The sequence below is a fragment of the Homo sapiens genome, chromosome 11 (genome assembly GCF_000001405.40).
Source record: "Homo sapiens chromosome 11, GRCh38.p14 Primary Assembly".
Classification (NCBI taxonomy): Eukaryota; Metazoa; Chordata; class Mammalia; order Primates; family Hominidae; genus Homo; species Homo sapiens.
This window is the reverse complement of record NC_000011.10, coordinates 131,201,706-131,222,822: the sequence shown is the minus strand read 5'-3', so window position 1 is coordinate 131,222,822 and position 21,117 is coordinate 131,201,706. Positions and strand designations below refer to the sequence as shown.

Below are 21,117 nucleotides of genomic sequence, written 5' to 3'. Positions count from 1 at the left end.
TATCAAGTTTTTAGTACTAAATTTTAAAATATTGTGCTTTCTTGCAGCAGTCACACCTATTTCCTGTCAGTGTGAAGTTCAATCAAAGGCAAGCAAGGTGCTTTCAGACAGGCAGTTAGAATTTTACAGCAACATTTTAGTGGGCGACATTTCTCTGAGCTCTTTTTCTTTCTCAGTAGTCCATGGTAACTTACGAGACTCCTTTATTAGCTACACAAATATTTATTGACTATCTATTATGGGCTCAGCATTGAACTATTATTAGTGATATAATAGACATCGCGTGGACATGGTTTTTCACCTGCAACGACTCAAGACCACTAATGAGGGTTGTGAAATGTGTTAGCTTCAAAAGGTATGGGCTGTTAGAACTTGGATGAGGAGGGCCTGCCCTGGGAAGGAGAGGTAAGTTATTCCAGCAGAACCAACAGTTGAGTACAACCTGAGGGGAAAGAGCAAGGTGTGTTTGAGGAACTCAAAGATGTATGGTAAGAGTTTAGGGAGAAAGGCAGAGAGCAACCGGATTTGTGGCCAGGAAATGTGCAGGGGGACAGCAGCTGCAGCACTCACAGAGAATGTAGATTGATTTAGATACTCCAGAGAGGACGAGGAAGGCCCAGAAGACTTCTTCACAAAAGTCTTAACACATGAGGGTTGAGAAGATATCTTTTTTTTTTTTTTTTTTTTTTTTGAGACAGAGTCTCACTCTGTCGCCCAGGCTGGAGTGCGGTGGCACCATCTCTGCTCACTGCAAACTCCACCTCCCGGGTTCACGCCATTCTCCTGCCTCAGCCTCCCCAGCAGCTGGAACTACAGGAGCCTGCCACCAAGCCCGGCTGACTTTTTTGTATTTTTAATAGAGACGGGGTTTCACCGTGTTAGCCAGGATGGTCTCGATCTCCTGACCTCGTGATCTGCCCGCCTTGGCCTCCCAAAGTGCTGGGATTACAGGCGTGAGCCACCACGCCCAGCCGAGAAGAGACCATTTTGATGATAGACTGGAGAATCCATTGTGGGTGGAGCATGGAAAAGAAGAAAGTTGGAGACCCGATGGAAGACGCTGCAGCCGCCAGGGAGATGCACAATGATGAACCTGTGTGCAGTTGGCTCACATCTTTTGTGGTTCACCTCACCCACCTTGTGCTTCCTACTGCTCAGAGCCCATTCAGGCTTCCCCCATCCTGACCCAGCTTGGTGAATGAGCCGGGTCATCAGATCCTTCCATTCTCCCATTTGCGAGGCTCTGTTAGGAAGGCAGTGATGTTGCTCAGCCATTAAAAGGGTAAAGACAGTAACAACAACCGTGAAACTAAACCAGGTACGTTCTAAATCTTCTGTGAAGTAGACACAGTTTTTCCTTGTAGAGAGGAAAGTTTTAGATAAACAACAGAGAATCAGTAAATAATTCAGCCTATGACCTTGATGCTTATTGATTCCTGCAGCTGTTTATCTTTCTCTAGGCTACCCAGGAAAGAAAAAGCCCTCCAAGAAAAAAAAACAGTTACCACTTAATTATAAAATTGCTTGGCTTCGGAGAGCCTTCTGGTTAGTTTCTGAACACTACAAGGAGGTTAAGTTAATCTCTGTAAACCACCCAGCCTGACCAAAGCTTCTGTTTAAAAATTTTAAAGACAAGCTTCATTATTCTCTGGTACGGATGAAAACATAAGAGAAAGAAACACTCAGATATTCTTCTCATTTTCAGACATGTAGTATATTCAGCCATTCAAATGACTTGAATGGCTGGTTATTTCTCACTTATGGGATTTGAATACAGGTTGATTCTAGCCACAGGGGCGCCAGATGTATTAAGCACTTGGGGTGCATATGTGAGACGCAGTAAGCCCTTGATCCATGTCTGGGGATAGTAACAGTGACAGTTAGAGGGAAATGGTAATAATTGCTGGGGTGGCTGTAGTGGCAATGCTTCAGATTGGGCCGAGAGGGCAAAAGGAAAAGGACGCGTCGTTGTTTGTTGTTGCGTTTTTAACACAAATAATTTATCTTTCAACCTCAGTTTGGATAAAAGCTGGGGTCCTGAAGTCTGCCCTGGTTTCCTGGTTTCACCAGTCACTCCTTTCTCACCATGAGCATCCACAGCCACCCTGAGCATGAGGCTTGATCATGGCGGTGAGTTGGTGAGGAAGTCACCAGCTGGAATGTTGGAGTCTGAACAGATAAACTCTTAGCCCAGCTTGGCCTATTTCTTTATACTTATTACCTTAGCTCAGTGGTCAATAAAAATGCTTGGCTAGCAAACAGCCAGCCATATTAAAAAGTGGACAAAGGACTTGAGTAAACATTTCTCCAAAGAAGGTACGCAAATGGTAAATAAGCACATGAAAAAAATGTTCAACATCACTGATCATTAGGGAAATGCAAATTAAAACCACAACAAGACACAACTTTATACCCATGAGGATGGCTACTATGAAAAATAATAATAATAAACAGAAAATAAGTATTGAGGAGGATATATCGATTTTAGGACCCCTGTGAACTGCTGATGGGAACGTAAAATGGCATAGCTGCTTGGAAAACAGTATGGAGGTTCCTCAAAAAATTAAAAATAGAATTACTGTATGATCCAGCAATTTTCCTTCTGGGCATATACCTAAAACAATTGAAAATAGGGATCCAAACGGATATTTGTACACCCATGTTCATAGCAGCATTATTCACAATAGCCAAATGGCAAAAGCCACCCAAGCTGCATCCTTTGACAGCTGAATGGTTAAACAAATATATCTACAATTGAATATTGTTCAGTCTTAAAAAGGAAAGAAATTCTGACACACATTGCAGCATGGATGAATGTGAATACACATTACAGCATTGAGGACATTATGCAACATGAAAAAAAAGCCAATCACAATAAGATAACTACTGTATGAGTCCACTTACATGAGGTGCCTAAAGCAGTTGAAGTCAGAGACATGAGGTACCTAAAGCAGCTGAAGTCACAGAGACAGAAAGAAGAGTGGTTGCTAGGAGCTGGGGGAAGGGGGAATGGGGAGTTGATTAATGGGTGATTAATGGCTTTCAGCTTTGTAAGATGAAAAGACTTCTGGAGATTGGTTACACAACAATGTGAGTGTACTTAACACTATTGAATTCTACACTTAAAAATAGTTAATATGAAAAATTTTATGTTACATGTATTTCACCACAATTAAAAATAAAAAAAGAAAGCTTATCTAACTTCTGGAAATGAGTCGTTTTCAACAAGAATATGAACAGAACCAGGCAGTTCTATCTCAACCCTTCTTCCAAGAGCTGATTTGCCGAAATACTTCGAACATCTAAGTGCTCTCATAGTTCCCCACTTTCTAAAATATGATGGACAATAATACCTAATTAATATCTCATTAAGGCGTTGGGATTGAGAGAAGCCATTTAGACCAAGAAAAGCATACACCTGTCACAGAGACCAGCCACCTGCCTCTCCCTAAATCAGGAAGGAAAACTGCAGCTCATACATTCACCTCTGGTGCTGGGGAAGTGCTGGATCCCTGAGTCACCTGTTTCTGCAGGGTCATTGATAAAATCTCCCTCTCTTAATAATGCACTCTCACCTTTCTTTAGCACGTGCCATGCTGGCACACAATTAACTGCATATCACAGGGAGGTCTGTGCCACTCTCCCATTCTGTCATTGTGGACGCTGAGGTACACACATGGGGCTTGAACCCACATCCTATGAAGCCAAGTTCAGAGGACACACTCTGCTCTCAACCTTCCATCTTTCTTCATGACTGTTGCTCATGTCTAGAAAGCTTTCTTTCTCTTTCTTTCTTTCTTTTTCTTTCTTTCCTTCCTTCCTTCCTTTCTTTTCTTTAAATATCCACACTCTACCCATCCTCCAGACGTGATTCAACTCTTTCCTTCACTCCTGACCTCCCTGCCTTCTCCCCACTCTTGAAGCCTCTTCCAATATCATTTCAATATCCCACTCTGACCATTGCCTCCTTTATCCCTTAATCTCCTCTCCCCACACCCCACCTCTCACTTGACAGGCTCCTTGACTTCCTTGCAATCCTTCAAATGCAGCAAGCACATTCCAGCCTCTGGAACTAGGCCCTCAGGGATGTTTCCTCTGCTTGGAATGCTTTTCCATCCAATGACCACATGGCCAATCTCCTTCAGAAAGTTCCCTGACCACTCTATGTAAAATATCAGTCCATCACCCTCACCCTTTGAACCCCTGTCCACTTCACATCAGGTAGAGATTACTGCTGTCCACCATACGCATCACCATCTGATGTATCAAATGTTTTACATATTCACTTATGGCCTGTCTCTACCCCCAAGAATGCAAGCTCCACGAGGGAAAGAATTGTGTTCTTCTCATTGCTGCATCAGGGTTTAGTGCTCAGCAGGTGCTCAGAAATATGTTTGAGTGGATGAATGAACTCCTACAGTTTTACACACAATCTAGCATAGAGCTGTGTATAACTCTGTATTGTTTACAATATGTTCTGAGAAACAATAGCTCTATGGAGTGTTAATAGCGGTTATGCAGGAAAAAAAAAGCATTTTCCTGCCAACCTAATTTGATGAAAGCCCAGCTAAAGTTAAGCATGTTTTTCCTTCAAGATTCCTGAGACCCTTTCATATTATGCTTTGACATGTTGATGTGGTCCCAGAGCTCTGTGGGGCAGGCACCCAATACAGGACTCTCCCAGCCGCATGCCCACAGTGATAATTTTGGAGGGGCATCTGCATAACAGTGCTGACATGCTGTGTGGTGTTAATGACTTCTGCCTGCTGGTGAATTTCTTCCTCCTCTGTGGCCTCAAGTTTCTCAATTTCTTTATGGTTAAGAACAGGGTTCTGATTGGCCAAAGGCTTGTTTTGATAGTAGGATTTTAGTCTCAAAGAGGCACTCTTGGTTTTGTTTGATTCCCATTCACTCAAAGGTATTCTGCTCCATAGAAACACTGGCCATGCCCCCTCAGCACACCCAATCCATCTGGTAATCAGGAAAACTGCTGAAAATAGGGGAGACCTGGAGCTTAATAAAACTGAACTCTCCAAACCAAACAGAGCCTTCGTGCCTTGCTTGCCACTACAGCACAAAGCAGGAGTTGGTGGGAAGCATGACCAAGAGCCAAGTGAGAGTCAGGTTAGGGTTTCTTCTCCGTGGTTAGGAAGGAGCCGCCAGAGATGTGTGAGAGATCTCGCCTCAGGACTGAGCTATGGAGCCACACAAGCGAGAAATCCAAATGCTTACACTCAGATTCAGGCAGACATCCAAGCTGCCTGCCTCAGGAGCCCCTGGGGTCTTGGTCCTTGTGGGGCACCCATCACTGCTTAGCCCTTCACAGCTGTCAGCAGGGAGCCCACTAGATGGCAACCTCATGTCAGCTGTAATGAAAGAGAGGCAGAGTCCGACAGAGAGATTCTAAGCAGTTAATATTTATTGAGTGCTTACCTTGTGTCTGGCACAGTTAGAAGCTTTTTCACTCCTTATTCATTTGATCTGCATAATCGTTGTGAAATTCATATTATATCCCTATTTTACAAATTTGAAAACTGAGACTCAGAGAGGTCACAGCAATAATTTGCTCAAGGTCACGTGGCTAGTAAGTTATCCAGCCCGACCTCCTTGCTGGAAGACAAGGTTTACTATACCCAGCAGTACCTGAGAGACAGTGAGAACAGGAGCAGAGCTCTGAGAGACACAAAATTGGTGAGGAGTGGAGTAGAGGGTAGAGATGCAGAAAGCAGGTCATTCTGCTTCTCTGAATATCTACATTCTACTCTCTTGAGCCCAGATGAGAGCCCTGGAACTTGTCTCCAGAAAACAGAAGGCAAATAGCAAAAATTCGGGGGATTATATTAAACCCTGGTGAGAAAATCCTAACTTTGCAAAAGGAGCCAGGGAGAAGCTGGGGATACAGAGTGGAGAGTCTTTCAGTTTTCAGCTTTCTCAGACGACCCATTGACTTCTCAATGCAACACAACCCTAGGTCCAGGCATCCATCTGGGAGACTTGGTGAAGAGGAAACAGCTTCTTTGGAATAAGGCTGAAATTTAGGACGATGGCATTTACACAATCAGTAATGGTTTCTTGAGTTCCCAACATATGCTAAGGTTTTTTCCAGGAACCATTGGCTAGGAAGCATTTTTGCTACTAAGGAATATGCAAAATGGCCCCCACTCTCAAGTAGCCTACAGCAGGGTTGGGGGAATGGAAGGCGAAGTCGCGAGTGAACACCTAACAACGCAAGAGAAGATACAGAGAATGTGGAGATGATAAACACTAAAGAGTTTTAGCAAAGTGTGTCCGAGCGTTGCAGGAAGTTCTCACATAGGAGGTCACAGGCACCATAGCACATCAGGAAAAGCATGGGAAGCAACAGCAGGCAGTGAGTGTATCTGGAGGACCACACAGAGAAGCCACACAGAGACAGAGGGGAGAGGCCAGGCCACTGTGCTGGGCTTCTAATGCTAGTTTAGGATATTTGGACTTTAACCTCTAAGGACCACAGACTTACAAACAGGAAAGTAGCAGATCAGAAGGGATATTTAATGAGTTCAAAACAATTGCAGGATGCAGACAGGATGGCCCTAGGGAGAAGAGGCTTGGACGCACTTGTGGAAGGGTTTGCAGGGTCTAGTGAATATGGGTTCTTTTCACATGTTCAGTACTCATTTCCTCTTCTCCTAATGGGTGGACTGGGCCTAGATTTTCATTCGGGACCCATTTCCTGTCCATCTCAAGCCCTGTGTTTTGGGAGGAGCTGATTCTACTCCCACTTCCTTTCAGAGACAGATGTGAGGCCCAGGCCTAGTTAGGCAGAATAGTCCTCCCCGCTCACCACGCAGAGTGGTAAACAGGCCCCATCTCAACGTGGCCCCGTGGGAGTCAGCTCTTGTGTTTTTCCAGGAACCATTGGCTAGGAAGCATGTTCTTGGCATGGAGGATGCTGGGTGGGGGTGAAAGCCGAGAGAAGCAGGTGGCCTCTTGCAATGCTGGGGAAAGAGGAATGACACTGGAACAGGGCATGGCGGGCAAGATTTCCAAAGTGACAGAGCCCCTGGATTCAGCCGTGTCTGATATGTGCTCTGGAGAAAAACACTCAAACCAAGTAAAGAGGCTGCAGATAACCAGACATGTTGAGGAACAGTGCTCTGAGAAGGTGACATTGGCCGTCTTTCCCATCTTCTCTCCTTGGGAGCTCTCTGTCTAACCCAGCTGGTCTCTAGTGAAGGACACTAAGGAGCGAGAGCTACGGGGAGTGTGCAGCAAGAGGGAAGAGCTGAGCGCAGCCCTTGGCCAGGCGTGCTCACGATGCCTGAGGGACAGCAGGAAGGCCAGTTTGGCTGGAACTGGCTGAGCAGGAGGGAGCGTGACAGCTGGGGGTCAGGCCACAAAGCCTTGTCATCCTTTGAAAGGGGCTGGAGTCTACTCTCAGGGTGGATGGAAGCCATTAGAGAGTTCTGAGTTGTGGAATGACATGATGCAACCAATGTTTAAAAGGGTCACTCTGGTCAGAGGGCTGAGAATAGACCAGACAGGACAAGGGTAGGGGGTAAGAAGATGAGCTGAAAGGTGGGAAACACCCACCCCTGGGCTGCAGCCAGTATCCTCTGAGATTTTGTCGTTAGAAATCAGGGTCTGGAGTAGGATGATGGCTAGGAAACAAGGCAGAAGGGAGGGCTGAGCAGGAACAGTGACAGAAGAGTGGGCACACAGAGGAAGAAGGCAGGGGAAAGAGTGCATGAGCTCTTGGCCAGGCTCAGGAGGGGAGTACATACTGAAGACAGCCACCTCCTCCCTCACCTCCATTCTGCCAGCCCGGTTTCTTCTTTCTTTTCCCCAGGGAGTGCTGAGAATCAGAGCATGCTCAAATGTCCATTTGAAGGGAACCTTGGCCGTGGAAGAGGGCAGAGGCGCGTGTAAATTCCAGCTGCAAATATGAAGCCCCCGTCAGTCCTATAGCTCAGGGATCCTCCATTGAGGTCAGGAGGCTTCTCCTGCACAGTGGAAAAGTCAGAAATTGATCTCGCTTTTAGCATTTACCAGGCATTCTCTGAGGAGGCCGCTTCATCAGCCTCAGGGTTTGTCTTTGCAAAAGACAACTTGTTCTTCCTCCTCCCATCCCCAGCCATGCTCCTGCTGCTCCCAACTGTCCTTTGTCTCCTAGTGTTAGTTTTGAGTGTGCACATCTTTTCCCAGGTTTTCTTACTGACACTTGGACCCTAGAACCCATCTCAGCATTTGGCATGCAGGGGGTGCTCGATGAATAAATATCTGTTGAATGCTGTTGAATAAATAAGTTATTGTCATTGACTGCCTACCACCTCATTGTTTAACATCACCTCACATCTGCTCTGGGTCCTGAGAAGAAGCCAGATTTCAGCCCAGGGAAGTGTGTGAAAGATACTTTTAATCTTACCTCCCACAACTCCCTGCTTGAGGAAACTAGACCACACCCCCTGCTCTTCTTGCCCTGTGACAAATGCAGATGCATACTTTTGTCTCAAACACTATCTAATTCAAAGGCTTTATATGCAGATGCATACTTTTGTCTCAAACACTATCTAATTCAAAGGCTTTATACTAATTGCTATGGGGCTACAAAACTGTGAAACAACCCCCACCTTCTAGAAAACAGGGCTAAACAAGGCTTCAACGGACTGGCAATTAGGGAACTTCACTTCTCATCCCTCTTCTGCCAAAGATCTGACTTTTGCAATCTTGGATAAGGTATTCCCATTTTGAGATCTCTGTTTTCTCATCTATATAATGAGAGTGTTGGGAGGGACAATCTGCAGGCCATTTTCAATTTAGGTATTTTATGATTAGAAATGAAGTAAAATCTGAGGCAATGAGAGACAGGAGATATCACAGCAAATGGGAGGTAGGACAATGACTTATGTAAGAGCAGAGCCTTGGAGTCAGGATGGGAATTATAAGAGCACCATCCTCAGTTGGTTGTGTAAACCGAGTATCTGAGACAGGTCTCAATCAATTTAGAAAGTTTATTTTGCCATGGTTAAGGACGCGCCCATGACACAGACTCAGGAGGCCCTGACAACATGTGCCCAAGGTGGTTGAGGCACAGCTCTGTTTTCTACATTTTAGGGAGACATGAGACATCAATCAATATATGTCAGATGTACATTGGTTCGGTCCAGAAAGGTGGGACAGCTCGAAGTTGGGAGGGGGCTTCCAGGTCATAGCTAGATAAAACACAAATCGTTGCATTCTTTTCAGTTTCTGATTAGCCTTTCACTGAATACACAATTTACAGGAATAGTCACTTATGCCTTAATCTGGCTTAGTGAAACGATAGGGCAAAGGAAGCAATCAGATAGGCATTTGTCTCATGTGAGCAGAGGGATGACTTTGAGTCCTGTCTGTCCTTTGTCCACAAGGAATTTCCTTATGGACAAATTGTGAGGGAGGTATGTAGCTTCCTTATCTTAGTAGTTACCCTTTCCAAAAATGTAATGGAAGGCAGGTTTGCCCTAAGCAGTTCCCAGCTTGACTTTTCCCTTTGGCTTAGTGATTTCGGGGTCCTGAGATTTATTTTCCTTTCACAGTTGTTAGTAAGAGTAAATGAGTTAATGCATGTTAATATGGCAAAGTATTTAACTACAGTAGAACCTCAATACATTATCATATCTAATGACCAAGTCAATAGTCCATAGCAGCACTATCCAATAGAACCTTCTATGCTCCACATCTGGGCTGTCTAAATGCGGTAATCACTCACCACTTGTGGCTATTGACAGTTTCAATGACTAGTGAGACTGAGGAACTGAATTTTTAATTGTGATTAATTTAAATTATTTTAAACATAAACAGCCATATGTAGCTAGTGGCTCCTGCATCTGACAGAGTAGGTTTAGACAGTAAGAACCACCAGAGATTTAAAAGGAGCAGTGAGGTGTGGTATATACCTAGATAATGGAATATTATTCAGAGCTGAAAAGAAACGAGCTATTGAGACATGAAAAAAACCTGGAGGAAACTTAAATGTATATTACCAAGTGAAAGAAGCCAATCTAAAAAGGAATCTGTATGAGCTGTATGATGCTAACTGTATGACATTCAGGAAAAGGCAAAACTCTGGAGACAATAATAGGATCACTGGTTGCCAGGGGGTAAGGGAAGGGAAAGATGCATAGACAGAGCACAGAGGATTTTTAGTGGAACTACTCTATATGAGACTGTAATGGTGGATGCATGGCATCGTACATGTGTTCAGACCCACAGAATGTATAGAATCAAGAGTGAACCCCAGTGCCAATTATGGACTTTGGGTGACAATGATGTGCTGATGTAGGTTCATCAATTGTAACAAATGTGCCACTCTGGTGGGGGGTGTTGATAATGGGGAGGCTATGCTCGTGTTGGGACATAGGTATATGGAGACTCTCTGTACCTTCCTCTCAATTCTGTTGTGATCTAAAACTACTTTAAAAACTAGTGTATTTAGAAGAAAAAACAAGCAAGAGGATGCTTGGAAAAAGTGGGGTTTGCAGTAACTTCTCAAGAATGGATTGGTATGGACAGCAGGGATTGTGTTTGTAAGGACCGGTAGCCTTCAGGAGCTATGAGTTAGCCAATGGGGTCAGAACAGAAGGTTTCCATGAAAGAGAAAAGTGAGATAGGCTGGAAGATTCCTGAACTCAGGCTGGGGAAAACTGTGAATTCCAGGTTAAAGAGCCTAAAATGTACTCAACAACCCATTGAGTTGCTCAGATTTTCAGCTAGTGCTGTGAGAGATCAAAAACGTGTTTTGGAAATAAGAGTGTCCTCAATAAGCAATGTTCTTTGGGACAGTAAGTTTTTCGAGGGTCAGTTCTATGACTTCCAGTTAAATCATGTGAGCTTCCTGCCATCGCACCAGGAACTCAAAAGTACTTAAAACAATTTAAATCAAATAAATAGATAGCTTTGCTCAGGATCATGCTGCTTTACAAGAATCTTCCATTACCAATGTGGTGTGTTGCCCATATTGGCTGGAAAATTACAGGCTTTTAGGGACTCCTGCTTGATGGATTTGTCTAAATGTGTCTAAAAGGAAGTGTACAATGTAGACCAAATCAGCACTGGGGGCTCGGCATTCATAACGCTTAAGTATCGAGGAAAGATTTTCATTTGTGCTCTCCTGCAGTGCACCATCTTCAAAGGTCCCAGATTTATTATTTCATCAACAGATCGGAGAGGGGAGTTTGTATGAGATCAAACAAACACGAGTACTATGGGAAGGCTGGCAGGTGATAGTGTATAAATTGCACGATGGAAAATGTCAAAAGTTGACATCAGAGCAGTAGGAGGGTAGGGAACACACAGAACTGAGAACAAATGATCCTGCCTTTCTGGGAGCCAATTCCTTACACAGTCCAGCTAATGCACTGCAAGCAACTCGGGGCTCAAAAACCCACTGAGAATCCACTGCAACCCATTAACTCAAAATACATCCTTTATTTTGAGTTATATAGTTTATATTTGTGTTTATTATTTTATATTTATTAAATTTTTTAAAAAGCGTCTCTTCATTTCTACACCTGTTCCCATCTCATTTCCATTGTTATCTTTGCTTTCTTCCTCCTCTCTGTCTCTCTCACTCTCCTCCCCCGCCACACACACAAACATGCTTTCTTTTTAATCTTCCCTGTGTGTATCCCCTTGTTTCTTTTACATCTCATTCTTTGTATTTGCTTGTCCAGTCTTTCAAGAGCCATGCCTTGATAGTTAAAGCATCTCCAAGGTAGAAAATTATTATGCCCTGTGTTAATGTCAGAGGCCTGTGGACTTACAGACTTAGATACAAGAAAGACAGTAAAAAGTCTATCCTACCAAGCTCTATGTTCCTGAACAGACACTTTGTCCTGAATCAGATTCTGTATATCTGAGGAACAGGGCAGCAGGCAGTTATGGGACATTCACTTTGTGCGGGAAAGATAGTCTGGGCTTTATGTGTATCGGCTCATTTCTGCACTGCCCCCACCACCTCCAGTAGTCTCTGCCAAAAGGCCATCTGAGAGTGAGCCTTTCTTAATTTATTTTAATTTTATTCTGTGTTATTTTTATGGGTACATAGTAGATGTGTATATTTATGGGGTACATGAGGTCTTTGGATACAAGCATACAATGTATAGTAATCACATTAGGGTAGCTGGGGTATCACCTCAAGCATTAATCATTTCTTTGCATTTTAAACATTCCAATTACACTCTTTTAGTAATTTTCAAATTTATGATAAATTATTATTGACTGTCGTCACCCTGTTGTGGTATCAAATACCAGATCTTATTTATTCTAACTAAATTTTTGTACCCATTAATTATCCCCACTTCCCCCTCCCCATCACCATTACCCTTCCCAACCTCTGACAATTATCATTCGACTTTCTATCTCCATGAGTTCACTTATGTTAATTTTTAGCTCCCACAGATAAGTAAGAATGTAGGAAGTTTGTTTTTTTGTGTTTGGCTTATTTCACTTAACATGATGTCCTCCAATTCCATCCAGCTTGTTCCAAATGACAGGATCTCATTCTTTTTTATGACTGAATAGTACTCCACTATGTACCACGTTTTCTCTATCTGTTAGTCTGTTGATGGACACTCGGGTTGCTTCCAAATGTTGGTTTTTGTGAACAGTGTTGCAACAAACATGTGAGCACAGACGTCTCTTCAGTAGACTGATTTCCTTTTAGGGGGATATATACCCAGCTGTGAGACTGCTGGATCATATGGTAGTTTTATTTTAGTTTGTTGGGAAACCTCCATACTGTTCTCCACAGTGGCTGTACTAATTTACATTCTGGAAGTGAGCCTTCCTTGACCGCCTGACATAAAGAACCACCGCTCTCTGCCCAACCCTCTAATCTGTTGCCTGACTTATTTTGTATCACTTTTCATTACTTAAAACTAGAGTAATATTTCTTTATTGACAGAAATAAGTATTTCTTTTCTCCTCTATTAAAATGCAAGTGCCAGCCCGGCATGGTGGCTCACGCCTGTAATCCCAGCACTTTGGGAAGCCAAGGTGGGCAGATCATGAGGTCAAGAGATCGAGACCATCCTGGCCAACATGGTGAAACCCCATTTCTACTAAAAATACAAAAATTAGCCAGGCATGGTGGCATGATCCATGATCCTGTAGTCCCAGCTACTCGGGAGGCTGAGGCAGGAGAATTGCTTGAACCCAGGAGGCAGAGGTTGCAGTGAGCCAAGATTGTGCCACTGCACTCCAGCCTGGTGACAGAGCGAGACTCCATCTCAAAAAAAAAAAAAAGAAAAAGAAAAAGAAAAAAAGCAAGTGCCATCACATCTGAACCCTCCACTGCACTGTGAAGTAGGGACTACTAAGAACTGCATTTCCCAGATGGAGACAACATGAGAGTGCAGAGCTAAGGGACTTCACCAATGTCCTTCAGCTACCAAGGTGCAGAGCAGAGATGGGAACCCAGGCACACGCCTTTTACTCCAGAGTGAGTGCTCTTTAACCACAGCACTTGGCCTTCTTCATGGCAGTGAGACATGGATTCTAAGATTAGACCTTTATCTCCAACAAGAGGCAAGCTTGAATGTGGCTTCCATATAAAAACCAAAATAGACTGATGATCCCAAATTACTTCTCTATTCTCTCCTTTCTTAGTGAGGAAAGCTAGAGAGCAGCAACAAATTCTAAACCCCTATAAAAACATGGACTATCAGAATTTTTCAGAATACAAGTTTCTAATGTTATGTACAGTTGCTGGCATGACATGGAGTTTCATCAACAATCTGTTTATTTTTGCTCCCATGTTTCTATGACGTTCCGAGCCTCTCCGAGAATATGTAGCTGGTATGCTACCAGAATCCAATAAATGTCACTTTACTTTATTTCTCAAAATCAGACTTAATCTGCTCTAAGCTCCCAGCTACGAATCTCAATAATTTGAGGCCTCCTCTCTCTCCTTCCATAGAGTCAAATGATTGTCCCGATATTTATTTTTTCTATTTCTGCAGCCATCTGCAGACATCTCTGCCCAGCACTGGCCCTTGGTACTTGTCATCTGCTATCCCTCTCTCCGGCACTCTGCTTTGGGTATACTTGTCTATGTTGTTCCCCACAGCCTGTTTTGAGGAATACAGCCTTGCACCTGGGGATGCTGAAGAATGGGTCTCTCCCTCAACTGTCTCTGGGAAAGCTCCAATTCTGTCTCTGAATGTACAGTTTTTGCTTCTGCAATGCAAACAATACTATCTAATCCTTCCTCTTCAGGGACAATGCAACACCATCTTCCTCAAAAAGACCTTACAAACATTATCCTGCCCCTTCTCCCTGGACTTAAATAGGGAAAGGAGATACTAATTCAGTTACTTTTGTTTTTTTTAGTGAACACAGCCCATTACCTATAGTGTCTGTTTCGGATTCATTTGTGCTACTATAAAATTTTTATTAATTCCCTTCACATCCTGACCATTTGGACTGCCAAGTTGGTGCTACATTTGGCTGACAAATGGATTTACTGTAGCCAAGGGAGAAGAAAACTCCTTTCCTTCTGCAGATGACATCAGACACATGATTTCTTCCAGGATCCCATGACACAGGACCCTTCCCTTAGGTGGCTAGCAGCACCCCTGATAAACCCTCACTGAAAGTGAGGTCCACGGGCATTGGGCCCAGAGGCAGTGCCCATGCCACCATCTCTAGCTCAGTGCCTGCTGCTGCTATGCACGCTGACACAACTCACAAGTTATTAACAGCTGAACAGAATTCCGAACCTTCTGTTCCTAACACATTTCTAACACCCTTCATAATCCACAGTTGTTATCAAAAGACATTTGCAGCTGTGAAGAAAGGTGGGTGGGCAGACAAAATAAATTAATAAATAAAGAGTTTCCGTGTAGCATGCTCAGCTTGGCGCAGACTGAAATCTTACCACGACCTATGTCAGGATAAGGCAACCTAATCGGGTTTCTTTTCATTCTCTGCCCTCATGCAGAAGAACCTGCTACTGATGTCAGTCAGATAGTGGGTCCACAATTATACAGCACCTACAGCATGCAAGGAAACATCTTGCTGTTAGGAAAGAGACAAATAGCCAACCAGGAAGACAAAGACCTCATGGTATGATTGAAACCCAATATCAACAACTCTCCATCATTTTGAACCTGTAAAGTAACCATAAATGATAATAAACAATGCACATGTATCAGAAGCAAACTTCAAATCCAGCAAAAGTGGAAGATGCTCCCTTTGCTTTAATCCTGACATCCACTCTGCTTTCCAACTTCAGTCCCTCTGGCTTTTAAGCATCTGAATGGTGGAAGAGGCTGAACATGGAGGCTTAATTGATTAACACTCCACAGAGGGGTAATAAAAATAGCTGATCCCCCCAAAATAATTTAACAGTTCTGAAGATCTGATTGAGAGGGTTTTCAATAGATTTAAAAATCTGAGTATTATCTAAGTCAGGGTGTCAAAAGAAGAAGGAAAATGATTGGGCTAAACCACAGCCAGCTAGCCGGCCATCTTGCAAATATTGATTGAATATCTCTTCCATCTCCTTTATGTCAGGCATGTGCTAGGCACTGAGGATAAAATGATGATACATTCCCTGCTCTGGAGAGGCTCATAGGCTAGTGAAGGAGTAATTTTCCTGTGGTAGGACATGGGATCTCACTGTGGCCTACATGGGGTGCTGTGGAGGGCAAATGGAGTGGACAAGGGAAAAGGGAGTTAGGGAAACTGTCTGGAAGGAAGAGATCCTTGCTAAGTCTTCAAGGACAAGAAAGAGTTAGCCAGATGGAGAAAAATGAGAAAATTATTCCAGGCAGAGTGTATAGCAGGTGCAAAGGTTTATAAAGGAATGAGGAAACCAAATGCATTTGGATAATTTCCATTAGTTCTGTGTGATTGAAATATAAGCTTGATGTGGGAGTAGCAAGGAGTAGGGCTAACGCACATTAAGAAAAGTCTTGTGAGTCATGCCAAGGAATGTGAAATTTATCTCGAGGTTTGAGAGGGAGCCTTCCAAGCATGGAAAGCGGAAAGGCATGGGTGGATTTATAATATGGGAAGTCAGTCTCACATCAATGTGAAGGGCAAAGATGGGACAAATGGATAGGCTGGAGACTGGAGCCAGGGAGACCTGTTTATGGACCATTCAAAATTTTCAGGCAGAAATAGATAAGGCCCTTAACCGAGAAATAAAAATACATATCAATGATGACCACTTAGAAACATTTCAGTTCTTATGCACTGTTTCCTCCATTGAGAATACTACTAGTGGTACTAATTCTACCATAATGATAGTATTTCTACAAAGATTATCATAGTGAGCTACTGGAAACCTAATGAATGCACACAGTATTTTTATTTCTAAGGTTTCTAATACCAGGAAGGAGGGATATCCCATTGTGCTTTTGCTTACAAAGTCTCCTACTTCAGCATTATTCTGATTGATGTGGGGGCTGGGAGGAAAGGGCACTTCCAGTTTGGGTCTAGTAAATTTATTCACACTGAGATATGAATCAGCTTAATGGATCATCCCTTCCAGGTTCTTCCCTCTCCCATCCCCTAACCTACCCCAGCAGACTAAGGTTTAACTTAAAGCTAAAATATAGACTCTCTAATCATAGACTATCTGGTGTGGTTGAAGTTAAGATGAGGGAAGAGGCCGGGCGCAGTGGCTCACACTGGTAATCCCAGCACTTTGGGAGGCCAAGGCAGGCAGATCATGAGGTCAAGAGATCGAGACTATCCTGGCCAATATGGTGAAACCCCGTCTCTACTAAAAATACAAAAATTAGCTGGGCATGGTGGTGCACACCTGTAGTCCCAGCTACTTGGGAGGCTGAGGCAGGAGAATTGCTTGAAACTGGGAGTCGGAGGTTGCAGTGAACCGAGATCACGCCACTGCACTCCAGCATGGTGACAAGAGCGAGATTGCATCTCAAAAAAATAAAACAAAATAAAATAAAAATATAAAAAGAGGAAAAGGAGGCCTTCCATATATTCTTGAAGTCACACCTGAAGTCAAACTGGACCCAGAAGGGCTCCCCCATTAGTGACTGTGATGCAGAGGACAGATCAGTCAGGAATAGTGGAACAGACTCTGCTCCAGTGGAGAGGCCCGTAACAGAAAGACTCCAGGCCTTGGAATCAGGTAGACCTGGAAACTAGTCCCAGGCTGGTTTCTTCTCTGTCAAATGGAAGGGAAAACTGTGCCTGCAGTGAGAACTGAGCCAGATAATACATGTCAAGTCCCAGAACAGAGTATAGCTCAGGGTTCCTAAACCAGGGGCAATTCCTCCCCCACAGGGGACATTTGACTTTGGGGGACATCTGGAGGCATTTTTGGTTGCTACATCTGGCAACAGGGGAACCACCGGCATCTGGTAGGTAGAGACTTTGGACACGGCTAAACATCCACCAAGGCACAGGCCCCACAACAAGAATGATCCAGCCCCAAATTTCCATAGTGCTGTGGTTGGGAAACTCTTGTCTAGCCCAACAAGAAGAAAAAAAAAAAAAAATATATATATATATATATATATATTTTTTTATTTATAGCTCCTCACTCCCCTATGCTATGATCCCCCCAGAATACATATTAAAAGGAATACCTTGAAGCAGAGCTATCCAGCCCCAGGACGGCCTGTAGCTGCTGGCTGGAGGGATTAAGCTCGCTAATTCCCTCAGCTGCCTTCTCCATCAGGAGTAGAATGGCTGGTTTGCAAGGAGCTGGCTCATTCTGGCTTTAATCTGTTTATTTTCCCCTTTATTGTATTTTTTTAGTGAATTTTATTTTCCACAAAATAAATCAGGAAGCCTGACAACTTGTGAGGCTCACCCCTTCTCTGTGCTTTTTGGTCTGCCCCAGCCGCCACCCTTGTCATTTCCTGGCTGCATTCCTTCGCTGTACTGTGGCCCGAGCCCGAAGAGCACCATTAACTGACCACGGAGCTGGTGTGTATTCTCAGCAAGTGTTCCCAGGCAGCGCTGAGGGTTGGTGTTCACGTTTCCCAGTCAGCCTGTGGAATGGGCTGCTCTGATTAGGAGTCCGCTCTGCAGATTGCGTTTGAGCCCCTCCCTGCCCTTCCTTCTCCACACACACTCAGTTTGGCCCCGGGAAGCTCCACACCATTGTGAGCCAGGCATCCTCCAATTGACGCTCCCTTCCACACAAAATGAGGGCAAACACTTGAGAGAGAAGAAAGAAAACAACACGTTTTCTTCTCTATGTTCTTCATCCATATATATGCATGGACCCATTGCAGCACACATCATGCATACACTCGCTCGGAGCTATGCGCCCACAAAAGCAGAAAGGATGCTCAGAAGCGACGCCAGTGCTGATGGAAGACTGGCTTCCAGCCACAAGGACCACCAAGAGCGGATGAATATTTGCCTGCTGCCTGCTGCCTGCAAGAGGAGGCTGGGAGCTTATGCCATCTCCCTCCAAGGAACAAACCCCCTGGATGCCCCATGCCAGCGTCCCTTCTGCACAATCGTCTGTGCAGCCTCCGTTTCCAACCCTTCCCAATCTAGTCCTCAAAATCAAGCAAATGTGGTGATGGACACTGATCAGAGTCCCTAATCATTATCAGCTCAAGGTTTTCCAGTCTAAGACCTCCCACCCCCATGTCCAAGGGCTGGCTGAATTATCTGGTGACAATGCGAAAGAACTTACGGAGAGAATGAGGGATGGGAAAATGGAAATCACACATAATGGTCTATGGCTCCCTCCCTCCTCTTTCTCTGGAGCTTGTTACTCCTTTGGGGATGTGGGGGTGGGGAGACTTGTCTCTCTGTCTCTCTCCCAGGTTCTAGGACTTGCCCAGAGGGAGCCCAACCCTATTAGACCTCAGTGAAAAGAAGGACCCACAGGCCCAAGTAAAGGGAGGAAACTTTATTCCCAAAGTACTAACCTTTCTTGCCAGAAGTCACTTTGGCTAACACCTTATTTCTTGATCTTTCATTTTAAGCTACTGGTATATATTTTTCTGTGCTAGCAGCCTGATGGAAGCCAACCCTCGAAAGGCCTCAAATTCATCTCTACCCAATGTGCCCTCCGTGCTGTAAAGAGTGGAGGGGCAGGTTTCTCCTGAAGGACCATCTCTGCCTGTCACCAGCCTGCGCTGACACATCATGGCCTGGCCCAGCAGCCTGGCCCACTGAACGCTAAGCCCACCGTGGAGCTGCCCTGCAGCTTGACAGCTCTGAGAAGTTGCCATGGGAGGTGGGTCAGGGCCCAGCCCGGGGAATCAGGCAGGGCTTTCTGGAAGAATTCATGTCTGAGGACAAGAGTTTAAGATCGATTGGAAGTTGCCCAGGAGACAAGGGGATTGGGAGAGGAGAGCTGTTGTCTGATAAAGGGCATGGAAGGGCATGGGCCTGCTGCGGTTGGTAAGTGATTCCATGAAGGGAACAGAACAGAGAGGCTGGCTAGTGAGGAAGCAGGCTGGGGAGACAGGTGGCTGGGGCTGAGGCACCCAGGACCCTACTAAGACTTGTGGCCTCAAATATGCAGACATGCAGAGGTCCTGAGGGTTTAAATTTGGGAGTGAAATGATGAGATGCACTTCCTGGCAAGCCCCCTCTGGCTCCTGTGGGTGAGGGTGGTGCAGGGAGAGGAATGAGGCTCTGCTCTGTTTCAACATGACATCTCAGTGTCTCTCAGATTTATTGATAATACACGGAGCTAGTATCTGGGAACTGCAGCCACCAGTTTAGATGCATAAGACTGATCACATTTTTGGAACTCCCTTTAAGTGTCCTGTCTGATAAAGTTGTTAGAAAACTTTAACCACAGATTTTGAGGTGATGCTGCCTCACAGATTGAGCCAAGGATTGGGAAGTGCTCCAGCAATTCCAGGCAGCAGGCGGACCGTCCCCCACTCAGGGGTCCCCTCATGCCCATAGTGCTGGCCAGTGCTTCTGACTTATTGTTTTAAGGAGGAAAGAAAGTGGATAAATAAAAAACAGGAGAAATCATTATTAATAGCTAAAGTTGGTTACTCCACAACAATGGCCATTTAAAAAATTAAATAATATACACATGGAAGGAAGAGACACCAGTATTTCATGTAAGAAATTATGAGATCCTGAATGAACTAAGAAAGATGGGGGAATAAGAGAGGAGGATGGACTCCAGATTCAAGAAAAATGTAAGATGCTCAAAAAATTAAAAATAGAACCACCATATGATCCAGCAATCCCACTTCTGGGTATTTATCCAAAATAATTGAAAGCAAGATCTCAAAAATTATCTACACACCCATGTTCATTGCAGCACTATTCACACGAGCCAAGATATAGAAACAACCTAAATGTCCATAGACAGGTGAATGGATAAAGAACACTGACCTGGAACATTACTCAGCCTTTAAAAAGTAGGAAATCCTGCCATACGTGGCAACATGAATGAACCTGGAAGATAATGTGTTACAGGAAATAAGCCAGACACAGAAGGACAAATACTGCATGATCTCACTTCCATGCGGTATCTAAAGTAGTCACATTCATGGAAGCAAAGAGCAGAATGGCAGTCGCCAAGGCATGTGGGGAGGAAAGAGGAATTTGCTGTTCACTGTGTGTAAGGTTTTGGTCCTACAAGATGAATAAGTTCTAGAAATCTGCCGTATGGCATTGTCCTTAGAGTTAACAACATGCGGTACACTTAAAAAATTTTTATGAGACTAGAACTCATACTTTTTGTATCACAACCAAAAAATAAAAAAGAATAAATATTCCAGATACAGCTCTTGAAGAAAGCAGTTGTGAGACTAATAATTCTTATTAAAGTCGTCTAAAAAATGGAGAGAAAAAATAAGAGCTGTTGACTGAGCAGACTTGGAAGGGAAGACAGCAGGACACTGGGCTTCGGGACAAGGCACCAGGCAATGGCAGCCCCACTCAGGAGCAGGAATGTGGGGTGCTGGGATGCAGAGATCCCCTGCGGCATGACGTGCCACGTGCCAGGGCCATCCCTGACGGCGGTGTCCCCAGCAGCTGAGCCGCCCTGTGAGCCTGCGCCCCATGACTGCTGCTCAGTGCTGGGGATGCTGAACCTGGCATCCCCAGGGTGACTCAACTCCTGCAGCAACCCAGGCCGTACCTTCAGGATGTCTTTGCCGGCCTCTCTACCTCAGGGTC

General features: G+C 44.4%; 1 long non-coding RNA gene across 2 annotated transcripts in view, besides 1 other annotated feature; it reads right to left on the bottom strand.

Annotated features, from left to right (window-relative positions):
• LOC107984412 (uncharacterized) overlaps positions 1 to 21,117 on the bottom strand; it is a 45,435-nt gene that overhangs the window by 9,422 nt on the left and 14,896 nt on the right. The gene's annotated exons all lie outside the window — the stretch shown is intronic.
• Positions 888 to 1,389: an enhancer, noted in NCBI's record as "H3K4me1 hESC enhancer chr11:131091329-131091830 (GRCh37/hg19 assembly coordinates)". NCBI's record gives its function as "activates a minimal SCP1, AML or CMV promoter by ChIP-STARR-seq in naive H9 embryonic stem cells {active_cell/tissue: H9 hESC(naive)}" and the evidence as "EXISTENCE:reporter gene assay evidence [ECO:0000049][PMID:30033119]".